General features: G+C 47.6%; 2 annotated features.

Annotated features, from left to right (window-relative positions):
* Positions 244-745: an enhancer, noted in NCBI's record as "NANOG-H3K4me1 hESC enhancer chr4:119994879-119995380 (GRCh37/hg19 assembly coordinates)". NCBI's record gives its function as "activates a minimal SCP1, AML or CMV promoter by ChIP-STARR-seq in naive H9 embryonic stem cells {active_cell/tissue: H9 hESC(naive)}" and the evidence as "EXISTENCE:reporter gene assay evidence [ECO:0000049][PMID:30033119]".
* Positions 746-1,245: an enhancer, noted in NCBI's record as "NANOG-H3K4me1 hESC enhancer chr4:119995381-119995880 (GRCh37/hg19 assembly coordinates)". NCBI's record gives its function as "activates a minimal SCP1, AML or CMV promoter by ChIP-STARR-seq in naive H9 embryonic stem cells {active_cell/tissue: H9 hESC(naive)}" and the evidence as "EXISTENCE:reporter gene assay evidence [ECO:0000049][PMID:30033119]".

Consider the following 2,007-nt stretch of genomic DNA (forward strand, 5'->3'; position numbering starts at 1 on the left):
ATTAATAATTTATTGCATACTTCAAAATAGATAGAAGAGAATATCTAGAATGTTCTTAACACAAAGAAATACTAAATGAGGTGATGGATGTCCTAATTACTCCGAGTTGATCATTACACATTGTCAGCGTGTATCAAAATATCTCATGCATTCAGCTGGGAGCCAAGATGGCCGAATAGGAACAGCTCCAGTCTACAGTTCCCAGCGTGAGTGATGCAGAAGACGGGTGATTTCTGCATTTCCATCTGAGGTACTGGGTTCATCTCATTAGGGAGTGCCAGACAGTGGGTGCAGGACAGTGGGTGCAGCGCACTCTGTGCGAGCCGAAGCAGGGCGAGGCATTGCCTCACTCGGGAAGCACAAGGGGTCAGGGAGTTCCCTTTCCTAGTCAAAGAAAGGGGTGACAGACAGCACCTGGAAAATCGGATCACTCCTACCCTAATACTGTGCTTTTCCAATGGGCTTAAAAAACGGCACACCAGGAGATTATATCCCACACCTGGCTCAGAGGGTCCTATGCCCACAGAGTCTCACTGATTGCTAGCACAGCAGTCTGAGATCAAACTGCAAGGCGGCAGTGAGTCTGGGGGAGGGGCGCCTGCCATTGCCCAGGCTTGCTTAGGTAAACAAAGCAGCAGGGAAGCTCGAACTGGGTGGAGCCCACCACAGCTCAAGGAGGCCTGCCTGCCTCTGTAGGCTCCACCTCTGGGGGCAGGGCACAGACAAACAAAAAGACAGCAGTAACCTCTGCAGACTTAAATGTCCCTATCTGACAGCTTTGAAGAGAGCAGTGGTTCTCCCAGCATGTAGCTGGAGATCTGAGAACGGGCAGACTGCCTCCTCAAGTGGGTCCCTGACCCCTGACCCCCGAGCAGCCTGACTGGGAGGCACCCTCGAGTAGGGGCAGACTGACACCTCACACGGCCGGGTACTTCTCTGAGACAAAACTTCCCAAGGAATGATCAGACAGCAGCATTCGGGGTTCACGAAAATCTGCTGTTCTGCAGCCACCGCTGCAGGTACCCAGGCAAACAGGGTCTGGAGTGGACCTCTAGCAAACTCCAACAGACCTGCAGCTGAGGGTCCTGTCTGTTAGAAGGAAAACTAACAAACAGAAAGGACATCCACACCAAAAACCCAACTGTACATCACCATCATCAAGGACCAAAAGTAGATAAAACCACAAAGATGGGGAAAAAACAGAGCAGAAAAACTGGAAACTCTAAAGAGCAGAGTGCCTCTCCTCCTCCAAAGGAAAGCAGTTCCTCACCAGCAACGGAACAAAGCTGGATGGAGAATGACTTTGACGAGTTGAGAGAAGAAGACTTCAGACAATCAAACTACTCCGAGCTACAGGAGGAAATTCAGACCAAAGGCAAAGAAGTTAAAAACTTTGAAAAAAATTTAGACAAATGTATAACTAGAATAACCAATGTAGAGAAGTGCTTAAAGGAGCTGATGGAGCTGAAAACCAAGGCTCGAGAACTACGTGAGGAATGCAGAAGCCTCAGGAGCCGATGCGATCAACTGGAAGAAAGGGTATCAGTGATGGAAGATGAAATGAATGAAATGAAGCAAGAAGGGAAGTTCAGAGAAAAAAGAATAAAAAGAAATGAACAAAGCCTCCACGAAATATGGGACTATGTGAAAAGACCAAATCTACATCTGATTGGTGTACCTGAAAGTGACGGGGAGAATGGAACCAAGTTGGAAAACACTCTGCAGGATATTATCCAGGAGAACTTCCCCAATCTAGCAAGGCAGGCCAACATTCAGTTTCAGGAAATACAGAGAACACCACAAAGATACTCCTCGAGAAGAGCATCTCCAAGACATATAATTGTCAGATTCACCAAAGTTGAAATGAAGGAAAAAATGTTAAGGGCAGCCAGAGAGAAAGGTGGGGTTACCCACAAAGGGAAGCCCATCAGACTAACAGCGGATCTCTTGACAGAAACTCTATAAGCCAGAAGAGAGTGGGGGCCAGTATTCAACATGCCTAAAGAA

Source organism: Homo sapiens, chromosome 4 (genome assembly GCF_000001405.40).
Source record: "Homo sapiens chromosome 4, GRCh38.p14 Primary Assembly".
NCBI lineage: Eukaryota > Metazoa > Chordata > Mammalia > Primates > Hominidae > Homo > Homo sapiens.